At 48.4% G+C, this 16,592-nt stretch overlaps 1 protein-coding gene across 10 annotated transcripts in view, besides 1 other annotated feature; it reads left to right on the top strand.

Annotated features, from left to right (window-relative positions):
- TENM4 (teneurin transmembrane protein 4) overlaps positions 1–13,618 on the top strand; it is a 788,202-nt gene extending 774,584 nt beyond the window's left edge. For all 10 annotated transcript variants that reach the window (XM_047426739.1, XM_047426737.1, XM_047426736.1 and 7 more), the window contains 2 exons: positions 4,856–4,998; positions 7,631–13,618. In XM_047426739.1, coding sequence (XP_047282695.1) covers positions 4,856–4,998; positions 7,631–8,389 — 902 coding nt within the window. In that variant the 3' untranslated portion in view covers positions 8,390–13,618. The remainder of the gene's footprint in view (positions 1–4,855; positions 4,999–7,630) is intronic.
- Positions 14,548–15,047: an enhancer, noted in NCBI's record as "H3K4me1 hESC enhancer chr11:78362445-78362944 (GRCh37/hg19 assembly coordinates)". NCBI's record gives its function as "activates a minimal SCP1, AML or CMV promoter by ChIP-STARR-seq in naive H9 embryonic stem cells {active_cell/tissue: H9 hESC(naive)}" and the evidence as "EXISTENCE:reporter gene assay evidence [ECO:0000049][PMID:30033119]".

The following is a 16,592-nucleotide window of genomic DNA, read 5'->3' as shown; positions in this document are numbered from 1 at the left end:
GGTCCAAGGCAGCTTTTCTCAAATTTCTTTGACTAGGAACCCACCATAAGAAAAAGATTTTACATTGCAATAAAACACGAAGACAAAAGGTTTGCAAAAGAATACTTAAGTGTGATGCACTCATTTTCTAATGTAGTCTGTTCCATTTCAATAAAAATGCTGGTCATGATTCACAAAATTGATTTCATTGCATAGTGGGTCATATCCTACAGTTTGAAAACCCATGGTGTGCAAAGAAGAGATTTCATATAAGCAGTTTTTAGCAAATTTAAAAAGATGTGCAATCACGAATAAGAACCAAGATACTGTTACTTCTCACTAAACCTTACCTCTTAGCATCCAGGTAGACTACATGCATCTTCATTCCCATCCAGCAACAACAACAAAAAAAAAATTCTTTTTTTCCCAAAAATTTCTTCAAGGGTCCTGAGATGTATTCCAGTGAGATAGGCTTAGGTCACTGGACAATCCCTGAAGCACTTACTGGTGGCTAGAGGGAAAGAATGCACTGATTGGCTTAGCCTAGGTCACATGCCAACCCCTTAGGTGGATTCAACTTCCCTATAATTACACTAATACTCCAGAAAGGAAAGAGAAGGCAGAATGGACTGCTGGGAAGGCAACCAAAAAATGTCCGCTACAGATATATCATGTACATCATTGCACTCTATCTTCACTTGATGCTTGTGAGGTAGGATCACTGACCCCATTTACAAAGGAGAAAAGTGAGGTTCTGAGGTTCAGAGAGCTAAAGTAACTGGCCCACTAAGAAGTGGCAAGGCTGGATTAGAACTCTGCTCTGATTCCAAAACCCTCATTCTTGGATTCAAATACATTTTGTAAAGAACAAAACCACACACATGAAAGAGATTATTGGCTGGGTGCTGTGGCTCATGCCTGCAATCCCAACACTTTGGGAGGCCAAGGTGGGCAGGTCACTTGAGGTCAGGAGTTCAAGACCACCCTGGCCAACATGGCGAAATCTCGTCTCTGCTAAAAATACAAAACTTAGCTGGGCGTGGTGGCGCACACCTGTAATCCCAACTACTTGGGAGGCTGAGGCAGGAGGATTGCTTCAACCTGGGATGCGGAGGTTGCAGTGAGTCAAGATCATGCCACTGCACTCCAGCCTGGGTGACAGTGAGACCCTGTCAAAAAAAGGAAAGAAAGAGACAGAGGAAAAAAAAAGAAAAAGAAAAGAAAGAGAGAAAGAAAAGAAATAAAGAAAAAGAAAATAAAAAGGAAAAGAAAGAGAGAAAAAGAAAAGAAAAGAAAGAGAAAGAAAGAAAAGAAAAGAAAGAAGGAAGGAAGGAAGGAGATTATTGTTGCCTACATTTCATCACTCCCCTGTGACAACACCAAACTCTGGGATGGATGAGTGAAGAGGAATTTTTTAACTTGAGGGAAATATCTACTTCTGATATGGTAAGAAGGAAGAGTAAAATTCCCAGCTCTTCAGAGGAGCACTGAAGAAAAACTTATGAATAAATTCATTTTCAGCATTTTTTCCTAAAGGCAAAATAGGAAAGTTTTCCACCTTCCGTCACTTGTAATTAAGGCCCAGCCCTCTTCTCAGCCCCCTAGTTTCCTGAGAATTTGCAGTATTCCTTATAGAAGCATTCCTTTGCAACTACAAATTCAGATGCAAGTTCTTAGCCTCAGGCAAAATGGCTTTATAGGGCATTTTTTCCTCCTGTTCTGTTTGTTTTAATTTCCCAAAGAACCATCTGCCATGATTTATAGAATCAAAGACTCTTAAAAACTCAGTGAGAAGAGGGACTTTGAAGAAAAGTTAGTCCAAGCTCCTTCTGTTAGAGAGGAGAAAATGGAGGTCCTGGGATGTGGAAGCATGGGTTGGTGGAAAATAGAGAAAATCTTCTGTGAGTGGGTACTGAGCTGCATTCTTCAAAACACATTAAATCTGCCAGGTGCAGTGGCTCACATCTGTAATCCCAGTACTTTGGAAGGCCAAGACAGGCAGATTGCTTAGCCTGGGGGTTCCAAACCAGCCTGGGCAACACAATGAGACCCCATCTCTACAAAAAATTAGCTAGGGATGATGGCACGCCTGTGGTCCTGGCTACTCCGGAGGCTGAGGTGGGAGAATCTCTTGAACCCATGCCACTCAACTCCAGCCTGGGTGACAGAGCAAGATCCCATCTCAAAAAAAAATCAAAATACATTAAATCCAGTAATTTATATATAAGCTTAGAATAGCTCCTGCCACGCGATAACTGCCACCAAATGGTAACACTTTGTATTCTTCTCCATAGAAGTATGGTTAAAACCATTTCCATTGTCAATATGCAGATAAGGAAACTAAATCTCAAAGAGGTTAAGTAAACTGTCGGAGTTCACACAGTTTGTAAGTTGGGGAGCCAGAATTTGGACACTGGGTTTGTCTTGCTTCAGCTACCATGTTCTTTCCTATGATTTTGCCTAGTAAGGCTGAAACAAGTAGAACTGGGCTCCAAATTTCCCTTTCTACCACCACTCCACCTCAGCACCACCAAGTTGCACACTCGGGAGAGGGGGCCCCAGACAACCCGAAAACAAAACAAAAACAAAGGCAAACACGAGGTTCTTGAATGGGATGGTAACATGGAACCCAGTGGTGACAGGGACACAGTCACTCACACCAGTAGGATGAACTCAGTGGGTGGCAGGTGACAATTTTGCCTAAACCTACCTATGTCTCAGTCTGTTTTATGCTGCCTTAGAGGAATACCTGAGCATGGGTAATTTATAAGGAAAAGAGGCTCATGGGTAATTTATAAGGAACTAAGCTCACAGTTCTGCAGGCTCTATAAGCATGGCAGCCGCATCTGCTCAGTGTCAGGAAGCTTTTACTCGTAGCGGAAGGCAAGGGGAGCCAGTGTGGCCATGGCAAGAGAGGTAGCAAGAGAGAAGGGAGGGGTGCCACACGCTTTTAAACAGCCAGCTCTTGCATGAACTAATAGAGCAAGAATTCACTCATTACCTCGGGAGGTCACCAAGCCATTCATGAAGGATCTGCCATCATGACCCAAACTCCCCCCATTAGGCCACCTCCAACAGTGGGGATCAAATTTCACCATGAGATTTGGAGGGGACAAATATTCAAACTATATCATCCTAGAACCTAAACAGGACCTCTGCGATCAGGGTTCTATCTCCACTTGAAAGAAGCCATAATCAGCCTTGGCTCTAAGGCTCAAATCAAAATCCTGCCTCCCCAAGAATTTGGATTCTTAGTCTCTGATTGACATCTGCTTTGGCATCTTCAGCTATGCCTTCCTGAGGAAGGCTGAGCCTGCTGGGACACAGGCTGTCTGTCTGTCTGTCTGTCTCCCTCTGGCCCCAGTTCACCTCCCCCTGCCATCTGAAGCTCTTCTTGCTCCGGCCACAGTCATCCTTTCTGGCTCTTTCTCAACCTTGCTGAGCTGCTCTCTGGTTACCTGAACACTCCCTGTACCCACACCTTCCCTCTCTAGGCCTTGCCTAGTATAGTCATCTTTGCCTGAAGGGCCCACTTCATCTCTACCAGTGCCTGAGAAAAATGGCACAGCTTTCAGTAACTGGCTTAAATGCCACCTTCTGCATGTGGTCTTGTCAGCCTGTCTAAATGAAAGGCTTCCGCCTTCCTCTAATCTTTTTCCTTGTATCAATGTTATTCATGCCCATGTCTCATCTCTCCTTCAGAGTTGTGAGTATGTGAGATGAGGGTCTCAACGGCATAGTCCTGGGCACATAGAAGATACTCAGCAATAGTGGGCCAGGTGACTGGTCCTCTTCATTTCCTCATGTCTTGGCTTCCTGATTCCATTCTCCAGTAAGCCAGATGTTCATGGCAAAATCCTATCTATCCCCACACCTAATATTTTATAATTAGTAACCCCAAGGAATGTTATCAAATCAATTATTCCCATGCCTATGGGACTTGATCCCCAAGCCCAATGTAAAGACTAGAAAATGAAGGTGGCCGGGCACGGTGGCTCACACCTGTAATCCCAGCACTCTGGGGGCTGAGGCAGGTGGATGACAAGGTCAGGAGTTCAAGACCAGCCTGACCAAGATGGTAAAACCCCGTCTCTACTAAAAATACAAAAATTAGCTGGGCCTGGTGACGGGCACCTATAATCCCAGCTACTCGGGAGGCTGACACAGGGAATTGCTTGAACCCAGGAGACAGAGGTTGCAGTGAGCCAAGATCACGCCACTGCACTCCAGCCTCGGTGACAGAGCAAGACTCCATCTCAAAAAAAAAAAAAAAGAAAGAAAATGAAGGCACAGGGAGGTTGTGGCATCCTTGGGCTGTCAGAGTATAAAAGGTAGAAGCAGAGGGAAGACTCTGATCGCAGCCTAGGCCATCTCTGTAACCCGTGGGACTTTGACCCTGAAGCTCTAATTACTGCACAGGAGGGTGGGAGAGCAGGGGAGTGTGTTTCTTAAGTGAATTGTCTCTTTGCAAGTCAATCATTAAAATCTTTTCTTTTGGTGGGTCTGGCTGTCCTTTGTAAGTATCTCCTATGGATGTTGGGGTGAAAGGGAGGGATCTTCATCTGTCAACAGCTGCCCCGGGTATGAAGCTAGAGGTCCTGGGAGTTGAAGTGAAAATAGAAAAGGAAGTCCGGAAACCTGGGTTCTATTTCAGTGTCATCACTCTTGGGTATATACTTGGGATGGGGATTGCTGGGTCCCAGGAGTACATTTGGCTTTCATAGAATGAAAAGTGTATGTAGCAGTTGACTCTCCCACCAGCAGCAATCCACACCCTCACCACACCCTGCAGCTAACTGTAGGCTGTGAGATGGGGATGGGTTGCAAATGAGGTCCACTCACTCCATGGAGATGTTTCTGCTTCCCTCCCATCCAGATGTTAACAGCTGGCTGCTCACCTTTGGATTCCAGCTACACAACGTGATCCCTGGTTATCCCAAACCAGACATGGATGCCATGGAACCCTCCTACGAGCTCATCCACACACAGATGAAAACGCAGGAGTGGGACAACAGCAAGGTAATTCCTGCACAAGGCTGCCACTCCTCAGGCCACTCAGACATTACTGGAGGGGGTCCCTTCAGCTTTTCAGAAAAGCATGGGCCAGTGATAGACACCAATGTGGTGCCTCCACAGTGCCTGCCAGAGGTTGTTCAACAACTACTTAGTAACCCACCACTAGGAAGCTGCTAGGGACGCAGCCATGACCACACACAGACGCTTACAAGCTGCAGTAAGGAGCTTTGTGTGTTACACTGAGTTTGGAGTTCCACAAAAATAATAAGCCTTGGTCACTATCCAGAACAAAAGCACAGGGAGAGAAGGTGGGTTCTAAATAAAAATGTGACATTTTCTGAGTACTTCAATGCACCTGGCCTTATGTGAGTTATTCTATGTAACTCACAAAGATCCCACAGCCGTATTGTTCTCATTTTACAGACTCGTGCCTGAGGCTTTCCCAGTGCCACACGGCAAGGAAGGGGTAGAGCTGGGATTCAAACCCAGATGTGCCTGTTCTGTATCCTCTTGCTGAGTACAGTGCCTGGCATACTGTAGGTGCTCAAAAAGACTCACTTTCTCTTGTCTCGCTTTTATAACCCAATTTCAAAGACTCAGAATTGTATAGCTGGAAAGGTCTTTAAAAACAGTCTCATCCCACCCACTCACTTCATGCATTCATTTGCTCGCTTCTCCCCTCCCTACTACCCCAATCCATTCATAAATTCTCTATGAGAACCCAACTCTGTGCCAAGCCCCATGCTGTGCCCAGTGAACGCAGGGATGAATCAGGCAGAGACTAAGCCTTCAAGGGATGCTTGCCCAGGGGATGACAGACTAAGGAGGAAAGCAGGTTGCCAGATGGCTTGCTGCTGGTGGTCAGAAACTTTCATATCCATATTTCTTACTCCAGATTGATTCCTTTAGGCCTCAGCATAGCTATCTCCTACCAGACCCCGGAGAATGGGATTCTGCACCCCTGTACGCTGGTGGCACTTCCCACACTGTACTTTAATGCCTCTTTCTTGTCTCGCTACTAGATTATGAGCCCCAAGAGGGTAAGTACTGGGTCTCATTTAGTACCCAGCATACAGGATAGCACACAGTAGGTGCATGAAGCATTTTTGCTAAATAAATAAATGGCTGAAAGAAGTAAACAGCCCAGACATTTCCCCATTTTACAGGTGAGGGGACCAGGGTTTGAAAGCAGCAGAATTCAATGGAGAACCCAAGTCTGCCTGGCCCCAGAGCCCATCGTCTTTCTGCTGCCCAGCCTCTCCAGTTCCCACCACCTCCAGGCCCCGCCCAGATATCCTGGCATTTGCTCTTCCCAGGGCTGAGCACTGCAGCACAGCTCCTCCTCCCTCACCAGGCTCCCTCCTGCACTCCAGAGAGCCCCGGTCTCTGACTGCCTGTCTGCCAACCTCGCCTGTCAATGAATTATTGATTTCTGCCCTTGGCAAGCATCGGAGATCTTTGTTGTTGAGCACTCCAGCTTTCGTGAAACTCTAGGAAATAATTGTTCACAGACAGGGTTCTATTAATTATAAAGAGGACTTAATTTCAGTGAGAAGCCGATAGGCCTGTTGCTAAAGCCATTTCCCTAACTTGCTGATAAGGCCCTGGAGCCTTCCTGAGTGTGGCTTCTCCAAGCTCTGTGAGCCACAGAAGGGACAGGTAGATGATACGCCAAGTTGGCAGGGCCCGACCTGTCCCCTAAAGCAGCCAAGAGTAGGGGCACCCCAGGAGCCCCAAGGAAGCACGGTGGGGCAGAGGCCTTCCTTAGAAATCAGATGTAAATGCAGTGGAGAGCAGTGAAGCAGGGTGGGAGGGTTAATAACAGTCACTGCCTCTCACCATGTTATGCCTTCCTGCCAAGAATGCATTTCTTGCCAATCCTCCATCTGACGGCATCCCACCACCCCCACCCATCCTTCAGGTCCCAACTCAAGCCTGAGCCTGTCCTCAAACCCCACCTCCTCCACCTTCAAGCCAAGATTCTTCTCAGCTTTGTTTGCTCCTTCCTTCTCCAGCAGCCCTTGAAACTGAACCTCTAGAATTGGACAGACCTGGGCTTGCAGGTTGACTTGTTATTAGTTGTATGACTGTGAGCCAGTGACAACCTCTTTGAGCCTTGGTTTCCTTAGACATGAAATTGGAATAATGACAGCACCTACCGTATAAGGTGATTGTGAAGATCACTGAGATAATGAGTGGTAATTATTTGGCTGAAACATCAAGAAATGTTAGCTATGGCTATTACTAGTTCCTCTCTTAGGCCACCAGTGATCACATTTGATTGCAATTATTGTTGTCATATCTGTCTTTCCCAACTAAATGATGAGTTCTTTAAGAGCAAGGATGATGTCTGATTCATTTTTCTGTCACCAGTGCTCACAAAACGACCTGGCACAGATTAGATACCCCCTGAACAGTTTCTAAATGGAAGGGTGGGTGGATGGATGGATGAAGGTCAGCAGATGTTCTGACCTTCTGGCGACCACCTGGATGTTCTGGTGGTCAGCGGTAGAGCTACATGCCGCAGGTTAATAAATATGTGTGGTTTTGACTTCATTATTTAAGCTGATTCTCCAGGTTCTCAGGGTTTTTTCCCCTTTGTCTTACTCTCTCTCTCACTCTCCTCCCCCATCAGTCTATCCTCGGGGTACAGTGTGAAGTACAGAAGCAGCTCAAGGCCTTTGTCACCTTAGAACGGTTTGACCAGCTCTATGGCTCCACAATCACCAGCTGCCAGCAGGCTCCAAAGACCAAGAAGTTTGCATCCAGCGGCTCAGTCTTTGGCAAGGGGGTCAAGTTTGCCTTGAAGGATGGCCGAGTGACCACAGACATCATCAGTGTGGCCAATGAGGATGGGCGAAGGGTTGCTGCCATCTTGAACCATGCCCACTACCTAGAGAACCTGCACTTCACCATTGATGGGGTGGATACCCATTACTTTGTGAAACCAGGACCTTCAGAAGGTGACCTGGCCATCCTGGGCCTCAGTGGGGGGCGGCGAACCCTGGAGAATGGGGTCAACGTCACTGTGTCCCAGATCAACACAGTACTTAATGGCAGGACTAGACGCTACACAGACATCCAGCTCCAGTACGGGGCACTGTGCTTGAACACACGCTACGGGACAACGTTGGATGAGGAGAAGGCACGGGTCCTGGAGCTGGCCCGGCAGAGAGCCGTGCGCCAAGCGTGGGCCCGCGAGCAGCAGAGACTGCGGGAAGGGGAGGAAGGCCTGCGGGCCTGGACAGAGGGGGAGAAGCAGCAGGTGCTGAGCACAGGGCGGGTGCAAGGCTACGACGGCTTTTTCGTGATCTCTGTCGAGCAGTACCCAGAACTGTCAGACAGCGCCAACAACATCCACTTCATGAGACAGAGCGAGATGGGCCGGAGGTGACAGAGAGGACCAAGGACTTCTTGCCAAAGACAGCTACTCTTTTGTGGCCGCATACCTGACTGTGTTGTACTTTTAAAAAAATGATTTTTTAACAAGTGCAGAAACAAAAAGATACTGGTTGCATTGTAACTCATGCAACATCCTTTTTTTTAGAAAAGAAAAACACAGATTTGGCCTTCGCACATTTTTTGCAAAGAACAGAAGGTATTTTTTTCTGTAGTGTGATCACAATGAAAACTTTATTGTCTTTTGTTCCCTTTTTCCTTGAGGATTTTTCCCTTGTCGTTTGGGGTATGTATCTCCTCTCTGAGATGCATCTCCTGGGGTGTGTCCTCGTCTGTCCCTAGGTACCCAGTGTGATGTGGGACATGAATGTCTGTGCTAACTTGTCTCATGTGCAACCCTTTCTTCTTCGACTGGGGTCGGGCAGGAGTAAAGGGAGTGATGGGCCAGTACAACACCCCTTCCAAGGGGGCCTGGGAGGAGGGTCTGTAGGACCTGAGGCTCCTTGGCAGGGCTCCTGCAGAAGAGTGGTGGATTTCTTCTCACCTTGTTCTCTGCCTCCAGAGGATCATAGATGGCTTCATCTTGCTCCAGGGAATTTCATGGTGTTGTTCAGCACCTTTTTTAAGCTGCCCCAAACTCCTGTTCAAGCTTTCTATTTTGATGCTGAATGAAACCCCCTACCACTTTTGCAAATCCTGTGTAGTTGTCGGTGCCACCCCCATGCTGGGATAGAGAAAGTGTCTCCCAGGTCCTTTCCCCCAGACCAGTGACATAACATCCTGGGCTCAGAGTCCCATCCTCCCGGGAGGGAAAGCACCCAGGATGCCTGTGATTGGTTGGTCCTCCATGATGTTCCTGTTCATCTCCTCCTTTCTCCCAAAGCCAGATGTGAGAACGAGCACTGCACAGCAAGCCTTCAATGTGGGCACCATGTCCACAGAACAGAAGGCCACCCATGGCAAAGGCATGGCAGTGGTGGCGAGGGCACCAGCCTGCCTTCCGAGGCAAAGCCCTCTCTCTATGACTTTGAGTATCTTCCCTCCACCACTCAGCCGCCACCACTGAGACGTAGGAATGTGGAGGGAGGTGCTTGGTGGCCTTTGATTCTGGAAAAATGCTTAACAAAAAAAGCCAGCCAAAGAGAGGAAGGCATAAGCTAAGCATCCTTCTAACCAGTTCCCAAAGTCCCATCTGCCTCCATGTACCAGCTGATCGCAGAGCTGGACTGGGGCAGGCTGGGCTTCCAGGAAATTCCTGAAGTTCTGAAACAGCTTCCCCTCTAGAGAAGCCCACCCAATGTGTTTTTTAGTGACAGGAAGAAAGGAGGGAAGAGCTGATGTGGTGTGGCCTGCCCATATCATACAACCCCACCAGGAGCAGGGCAGTTCCCAAGGTGGGTGCCCGTAGATCTGGGAGGCCAGGCTGGCATGATTCCTGTGAAGAACTGTGCCTGTGTCGTCAGGGAGAGGCCTGAGCCCTCTCAGAAGCAGGGACAGCCCACACCTGAAGAGCACGCCCAAGCTGAGGCAGCAGCCAGCAGGCTGGGGGAGCAGTGAGGGCAGGGGGAGTCACAGCCAGAGCTGGGAGCCCCTTGTTCAAGGATTCCATTCCTGGTTCATCCGCCTAATTACCATTGTCATTACCACTCACAGGAGGCTCTGGGAGATGGGAGGGGAAGCCAAATGCTTCCTTTTAAGCTGGGCTTCTTAGAAAATGGAACTTTTATGGGTTACATTTACATTAAGTGTGGAAAATGAATTCTGAGTCTGAGCTATTCCCCGTGGAAACCTTGTTGGACTGATAAGCTCATGGCACCTCTATAGCCTTACTCACATAGTCTTCAGAATATTACACAAGTTAATGAAACTGAGAAGGTCTGACTGCATGAGGATCGGAGCAGCATGTAGTCTGGGTTCTGCCTGGCAGAGGGAGGCAACCAAAACTTCTTGGGGAGAGGAGATTTCGCCTTAACGTCATCCCACTGGGATTAGAGGATGTGTTTCGCTAAGTGCTCTTCCTGTTTCCAAAAAAAAAGCCACCCTGCTGCAGCAGTGCGCTTTGGCCTGCTTGTCCACTGGTTGCCCATTGCCCCTGGATCCAGAGCTCTACTGAGTCAGATACAGTGCTCTGCAGGCCTGCTGTGGGAGGCATGAGCTGGAGATGGGGGCTCCCATCTGGCAGGATCATTCTTGGATGAGATGGAAAACAGTTTGGCCTGAAGAACACAAGTTTTGTCCTCCAGAAGGGACTTACGCCTCTCAAAATGTACTCTTCATACCAAGGGCCCTTGGGCAAAGTGCTCCTGCCCAGTTGATCAGTCCCATCCTGGCTGCCTGACATCAGTGAAGACCTGCTGGGGATGTCTGCTCAGAGGTCAGGAACGGCATGCGGTCCACAGGAACCAGCTCCCTACGCTTCCCCCACGCCCTGTCCCTCCTCCACAGCCCCCTCCCCAAAGGAATAGGGTGGACTTTTAGGGATCAAAAACAGAATTATTGGGTGTTTCATTTATTTTTTTCTTTCTTTCTTTTTTTTTTCATAGAGATGGGGTCTCACTATGTTGCCCAGGCTGTTCTCAAACTCCTGGCCTCAGGCGATCCACCTTGGCCTCCTGAAGTGCTGGGGTTACAGGTGTGAGCCACTGCGCCTGGACTGAGTGTTTGTTTCTTTAAAGGATCTTATATTTTTCCTGTGCTACATACCACCACAGCAGCCCAGCTTCTGTGGGGAGAGAAGTTGAAGGATCCCGAAGCTTTAGAAAAAGGATCTCAGCTGTGGCACAGGCAGTGTTATGCGCCTCACTGCCACATTGGTGCTGTTGTATTGAAGGTGGTGCTTCTGGCCTTGGCCCTTTTGAGTTGGTTTCCATTTGGGCTGCAGGTGACTCAGTGACTCCCTCCTCAAGCTGTCCTCCTGCTAAGACCAGCAGTCACAAACCCATGGCAAGGGTGAGTGTGAAGGCCTAACCCTGTGCCTATGTAATAGGCTCCAAGCATCGACTCCCATCCTGAGAGGACCGGCCCTTTTGACACTCACCAACCAAATCTGTTCATTCGATAGAGTGACCAGGCCTCCCTCACCTGCCCAGGTGTATGATCCTACAGTTCCTGCCTTCTCTCCTACCCCGCACAGCTGCCAACTGGTCCTACATCCTCAGCCCCTCTGCCACCACCTTAAATAGGACTTTACTGATTCCCCAACTTTGTTTTTTTGTAGGATGAGATTTCCTTTTTATCCCACCCCCCCACACCCCAAACAGACATTGCTGGAGGGCAGACTGGAGGAAGGGGAAGGCATGCAGGTAAATTACTGCCTTGTCAGCCTCTGACCCTCATCTCTCAGAATTGTTGGCTGAGAATTAACCCAAGGACCACACCAGTGCCTGATTTCTACTTAGGGAGAGAGGATTGGAAACGATCCCTAAGAAACTGACTGAGGGTGAGAATGGCCAGGAGGTGTGTGTCCAAATAACCAGGAGGGGGCACAGAAGATGATGGCAAGGCAGACTGGGCAGTGTTTTGTAGACACAGAACAAAGAATCAGAATTTGAAAAAAGAAGAAAAACAAATCTTCGCAGCTGCAACTTTAAAGTATCACCTTTATAGATGGCAGGGATTTCCATTATGCAAATGGAATCTAAGATTTCAATGTGAAATCTTAGAATGCAGTTTTACCACTTGCAGTCTTGTATTTGTGGTGGCCATGTGGTGAGGGCGGTGATGCTGAGCTTTCTGCCCAGGAGGAATGAGCTTTCAAGCTCTCAGCAGGGTGTCAGGCTTGGGGATTTGAGCATCCACTGCTCAAAGTCCAGGCTATTCTCCAGTCCTCACGGCAGCCACTAAGCCCAGGAGCCAGACCTGGCCCGGGGACACATCTCCTGAGGGATCCCAGAAAGAACCCAGTCTTTCCTTTCCCTTGGGGTCCTTGTTAGAATGAAAACCTCTCTATTTAAGGCACATCATTCCCAGCTAGGTTTATACACTTGTCTATATTTTACTGGAGGAAAGGGAATTAAAAAAGAACTCTGCAGTTCAAGGCCCTTTCATTTAACCTTCCAAAAACAGCAAACTCATTTTAAAGACTCATTGCTGAGGTGATAGAGAGAAACCTTATCCTCTCCAACCTTCACATTCACAAAAACCATCCTTGTGTACTTGACTGCCCTAGACAGTGGTGACTCTTAGGTTTCATTACGAATGTGGAATATCAGAGTGTGGGAAGGCCCAGGCGAGGGCCAATGTTGTGTTTCTTACCCCCTCTGGAATGCCAAAGGCAAGGTACTAGGTGACCTCCTGGTCCCCAAGAAAATGTGATTTATTCTGAGGGCGAACAGCCAAGGGAGGACTAGTCTGGAGCACGCTCGGCCGTCCTGGCAGGAGCTGAGCCTCAGGTGTCTGGCGGTGCCCCAGCAGCCCTGGATTCACCCAACACCAGAATCCCACTTTTCTAAATCCACCTGTTGTTCTGAGCACCTCTGAACCCGCAGCTTCGGCAAAAGGAGTCTGTACCAAGCTGCTTCTGGATGACCAACACTGGAGACTCTGGCCTTACCATGTGGAAATCATTTTCCTGAAGTCTGGAACTAATTTTGAGAAGTTTTTTTCTCAACACTTTTGTGTTTCTAACACTGTATCTTGACTGTGTAAATACCAACAAGGCTGTAAATAAATGCAGATGTAGATACCTTCTAGAAAAAAAAAAGCATAAAAACAAAACCAGAAGTGATCCCGTGTAGCCTTCGTTGACAAATAAAGACTATTTTGTGTTTACAGGTGTCTGGTGGCCTTTGCTTGGAGATAAAGGCTTCCTCTTGCCTGTCCCAGCCCCCGAGCCATCCTGGGTTTGCACTTCCCTGCTGGCTGCTATCAGGATGACCTGGGAGAGGACTCAGTCCTAGGCCCCAGGGTCCCTCTAAATCCCTCCAGGCTGCAGCTCTGTCAAGAGGGATGTCCAGAGGGTCTCTAAGACCCTGAAGCTTGACTTTGCAATTGCATGACAGGAATAAATATCACAGCTCCTCTGACATCACTAGTGCAGCGTGGCTCCCCATCCCACTGCTGCCCTCGTTCAGGGACAGGCTGAAGGGGCCAACGAACCCAACCCTCCCAGAGGAGGGAGCCTTGCTCCACCACTGGGCACACAGAGTCATCCACCATGCCACTGCCTTCCACAAGGGATGTGAGCCGTTGCACTTTAAAAATAAATGACTGTATATTCATCATACAAATAATTGTAACTACATAATACACCTTGGGAAATGAGAAAGGAAGAAAATTCCTTCGGGCTTTCCCCGCCTCTGTGTGTTCTTAATGTTGTTGTTTTTTATCTAAGGTGTTGTCATCACAGCATACGGGTAATTTTTCACCCTGCTTTTCTCACTTAACCTCATGTTGAACCTATCAGCCCTAGGAGTCAGGGACAACAGCTGGTCTCTTGAAAGAGTACACGTGCTAAGCCCAGCTCCCTGGTGTGAATGGCAAACCTTATGAAAATTCAAATAATTGTCCTTTGAGGACAGGAATTAGAATAGAAGTCCTCATCTCTCGCCCATCAGCCTCAGGACTGGTCACCACCAGGTCCTCAGGGAAGGAGCCGCAAGCTTTGGGGCTCTTCCTTCCACCCAGGCCCCTGTGGGTTTTCCAGGCCTTGCTGCCCAGACCATTGCACGTTGGTGGGTCAGTGGTCCCAATAGGCACTGACAATCTCGCTCTGGGAATCAAGCCAAATTTGGTGCAGAATGCAGCTCTAGTACTGTGTGATCTTTGGCAAGTCATTTAACCCCTCTAAGCTTTGGATTTTCCATCTATGCTGAGATTATGGTGATATAGACCCCCCACCACCACCCCCAGTCACTGCTTAGAGCACTTGAAAGAACATGCGAGTAATGTAGCCCATGACTCAGAACACAGCAGACTTTCCCCAGTGCCCAATATGAGTTGTCCCCGTCACACCTCCCTCCCCCACCAGCCCACCCCACCTTCCAAAGTCTAGTACTGTTTCCACTACACCAGTGGTTCTCGAACTTTGGGCTGCATCCAAATCACCCAGAAGTCTTATTAAAACACAGATTGCTAGGTTCCACCACCAGAATTTCTCAATCAGTGGGTCTGGGTGCAGCCTTATAATCTGCAATGATAACAGGTTCCCAGGTGATTCTGATGCCCCATCAGGCTTGAGAGCCGCTGCCAACTACACTATCCTTTATACTGTACAGAATAAGCCACTGAGCCTGGCACTTCAGATACCCTCAATCAATGACAATACGCTCAATCAATGCCCCTTCTCTTCCCCACATAGCCACAGTCTGCTGCATGGGTCATGCACCAGCCCACAGTTGTTTCTAGACTTTGACCCACATGGGCCTTTGCACGAGCTGCTGCCTTGAGCCCAGCTGAAATAAACTCTTGCTGCTCATTCCCCTCTGGAAAGGCACTCCCTAAGCATCTGCCATGCACATGCCCTTTCAGGACTCGATCATTCTTACATGTGCGCTCCTCCAGGCCAACGAGGCTGTCTAATTTCCTGTGTGTTTCCCAGTACCCAAAACAGCTTCTCAGCCGTGGGTCACCCTAAGGTCAGCTTTTGCTTTCTTCGAAGATCCCACTCCCTCTGATGTATTTGAGAAAGAGGGCCTTGTCTCCTGTTCCCTTCCGAATGGAGGCCACGCCTCCTCTGAACGGGCTGCCCGCTCCCTGCCCCCCACCCACACCACCTCAGCCACTCTCCTCGCAAAGCTGCTGCAGCTGTGCAAGGCCCTCAGGAAGGAGGAAGAGGTAAGAACCAGGGCCTCTCCTTCCCCGCCAGCCCCAGGTCCTCAGGTCCCGCTAAAATCCTGCCCTCAAAGTTGTGTGGGTAATTAGGACTTTCCTGATCCATCAGAGGCTGTGGAGAAAATTACAACATAGGAGGAAAAAGACCTTAAAAGTGAGTACTACTCTTTCTTTCCCATATCCAGAGAAGCGTCTAAGAAGCTAAACGTTAAACGTCTTACAGGGGCTTCCCGCTTGGTCACATCCCACCCTGACCTTGTTCCTGGTCCTCATAGTCACCTCTGTGGGAGGCTCTCCTTCCAACCTTCACACTAGAAATCTCTCCCCAGACCCTGGGAAACTCCATCCATACACAAGGGCCCACCCCTGCCCGCGTCAGGCAATCTAGCAATTAATTTCTCAAGCCTGAATTAATCAGTCTGGAATAACCCCAGGGTGGGCCCCAGTTCCCACCCCCAGACCAGCCCCCTTCCAATGTCTCATGGACAATAGGAGTTGCAAATACATTCTTCACCCTTTCAAGAATCCAAAACATATATGTGGAGTTACACGCACACACCTTGCAAGGACGAATATCACTTCTCAGGAGCAATGCAGCCTTAAACCCAAGGAGAAGAACAGAAGCATTCTCCTATCTGCCCTGTAATCTGCAAGCCCATCCTGTCCCAAAGAACGTCAGAAGCTGCCATTGTATGTAGAGCTTTCAAAATAAGCCCACTCCCAGGACTACCAGAGTTAGGAATTGTACCCGTTACCTGGGCCAAGACGCAGTAGAGCTTTGAAATTCCTTCTGATGAATATCTAAGTTCTTAGGGTAACAACCTATGATATGAGAATAGAGGAAATGGGGTCATTCTTTCAGATTCGGATATTTATTATATGAGTGAGTAAATGGATGAGTAGAGAATGGATGACTGTATGAATAAACACCATAGCCAGGCCCTTGACAAGGCCTGGAGGAGGAATTACAATCAGTCAACAGCCATTTAATGAGCACTTCATATATACAAGATCCCAGCCTAAGCAGCCTCAGAAAACCTGAAGGTGTAAGACAGGACCCTTTGCTGATAAGCATCACCACTCAATCAGGGAGTCTAGAAAGATTCAGAAAACAGACTCTGTGATACTAAGGAGCATGTGCTCTCTGTCACTATTCCAGAAGCCTCGGCATCCAAGCTTGCTAGAACCCAGAAATCTCAGAGAGGTGGCCTGAGGCCCACCCAGTGGACTCAAGAGGCTCCATTAGCTTGAGCTCAGTCTGGCGTCTGAGACATTGCCAGTTTTACAGCAGCCAGGGCTCCAACACTACGGAGTGTGAGGGTGCAGACTGGATGGTACAGGAGCAGAATTCTGTTGGCAGCAGAATCCCATCAACACCCAAGAGTCTGGTCCAGACCCTGGAGGTGTCAGTCTAGGCAGAGGGGCTA

The sequence above is a fragment of the Homo sapiens genome, chromosome 11, assembly GCF_000001405.40.
Source record: "Homo sapiens chromosome 11, GRCh38.p14 Primary Assembly".
Lineage (NCBI taxonomy): Eukaryota > Metazoa > Chordata > Mammalia > Primates > Hominidae > Homo > Homo sapiens.
The sequence above is the reverse complement of the archived record's forward strand: the minus strand, read 5'-3'. Positions and strand labels throughout refer to the sequence as shown.